This window comes from Homo sapiens, chromosome 8, assembly GCF_000001405.40.
Source record: "Homo sapiens chromosome 8, GRCh38.p14 Primary Assembly".
NCBI lineage: Eukaryota > Metazoa > Chordata > Mammalia > Primates > Hominidae > Homo > Homo sapiens.
In genome coordinates, this window is record NC_000008.11 from 15,856,259 (window position 1) to 15,858,035 (window position 1,777).

General features: G+C 40.1%; 1 annotated feature.

The window, feature by feature from the left end:
• Nucleotides 1,008-1,224: a silencer, noted in NCBI's record as "fragment chr8:15714775-15714991 (GRCh37/hg19 assembly coordinates)". NCBI's record gives its function as "represses an EF-1alpha promoter that drives an FKBP-Casp9 reporter gene in an ReSE screen in K562 erythroleukemia cells {active_cell/tissue: K562}" and the evidence as "EXISTENCE:reporter gene assay evidence [ECO:0000049][PMID:32094911]".

The following is a 1,777-nucleotide window of genomic DNA, read 5'->3' on the forward strand; positions in this document are numbered from 1 at the left end:
AATCACCTGAAAGCATATAGCAACACATTGCTCCTCATTAGACAACAAAGGTATATTGGCTTCAGACACTCAAGGTGGTGTTGATTTTTATATACTCACGCATGGTCCTTTGGTTTTATTATGACAGATGTGTGCCACTGGAATCAAGTCTATTCAGCAGAGATTTTCTCTCTTTTTTTTTTAGAAGAGTACATAGAAACTTAGAAGGCTGGTGATGGGATTGACAAAGGACAATTTATTTATCATCAGACTTTACAGATTCACTGCTGTCTTGGTGTCTTCACACGTGGGTTTCACTGCTGCTTTGGAGAAAATATGGTGCCAAGGTCCTGGGAAGAGGCTTTCAGTCAGACTTCCCTGCTTTCAATTCTAGTTATGCCCTTGCCATTTATTTAATCTCTGTCACTTTCAAATTATTTTTGTGCTTAAATGATGCTTTTCTCTCTGTAGCATTGTGAGAGATAAAAGCGCATTTACATGGACACCGTGGGGTTTAAAACTGATGATGTATATGCAGTGTTTGTTTCTGTCACACTTCTCCTTTTCCTTTCCAGTTTTCTGATGGCCAGGAGAAAGCTGTATCTGTGATGAAAGTCACTGCATTGAAAAATCTCCCTTCTGGCTACAACTGGCACATTTCAGCATGTTCTGGGCCATGCCCTCAGCAGATATTCTGAGACCTCCCAACTGAGCGGCTTTGTGTAAACCTGCCCTGCTCACTGATCATTAGAACACCTAATAAAATCCAGAAGGCTGGAGGAATTAGCCAGTCATAGCATTTCTTGGTCTAAGAATTTTGGGGGAAACTGCAGCAATTATCTCAAAAACCCCCAGAGATCTAAACACTGTTCCTAAAATATGGTAACTTACAATTTATTATATCTAGAATATCTTTGTAGTAATTTGGCTTTCAGAAAGGGCACTCACATTAGAAGGCAGCTAGAATTAGATGCCAAAAACAAAATAACAAAACAGGATTTTACGAAGGTAGAATTTTCTCACATGTCCTCACCCCTAACCCAGGAGGAAGAAGCGCCTTTACCCTGCGTATTCCACGTATCAACAGGGCCCTGCTCAGTGTGTGCTACTCGTACCACGCACTGGTTTTGTTTGCGTGCCTGCTACTTGCAAGCTGCTTGACGTCACTGCCATATTCACTTCTGTATTCCCACAGCCTAGCATATAAACAGTTTTTACAGACCAGGTATGGTGGCTCACATCTGTCCTTCCAACACCTTGGGAGACTGAGGAAGGACTATCACTTGAGGCCAGGAGTTCAAAACCAGCCCTGGCAATCTAACGAGACTCCATCTCTACAAAAAAAAAAAAAAAAAAAAAAAAAAAATTAAAAAAAAAATAAGTTTTTACAACAAAATGAATGGATGGATAACCATAAAGGCTGCAAATTTGAAAGGCATTATTTAGGCCATTCTTGCTACCATTTAGGACATTGATACCAGTGTATTAAAAGTCAAGAAGACAGAAAGTATACTGTTTCAAATAGTACTTCTCAGGACAACAAAGTTTTCTCTTTCAGACTCTTTCAGAAACTAAAATTATATGACATGGGTATTTCTGGGTTTCACTTCATTTCTCCCTGGGTGGTCTTATTAACTGAAGAGTGATCAGGAATCAGTTTTGCTTTCTCTGTCATTGGCCCTTATCTGCTGTCTCCTGTGTTCCTCTCCCTGCTCACATCCAACATGAAGACTTGCCCGTAACTGACATCCTTGTCAAGACTCTTTGTCAATCATTTTACTCCTTTCTGTGGGTAAAA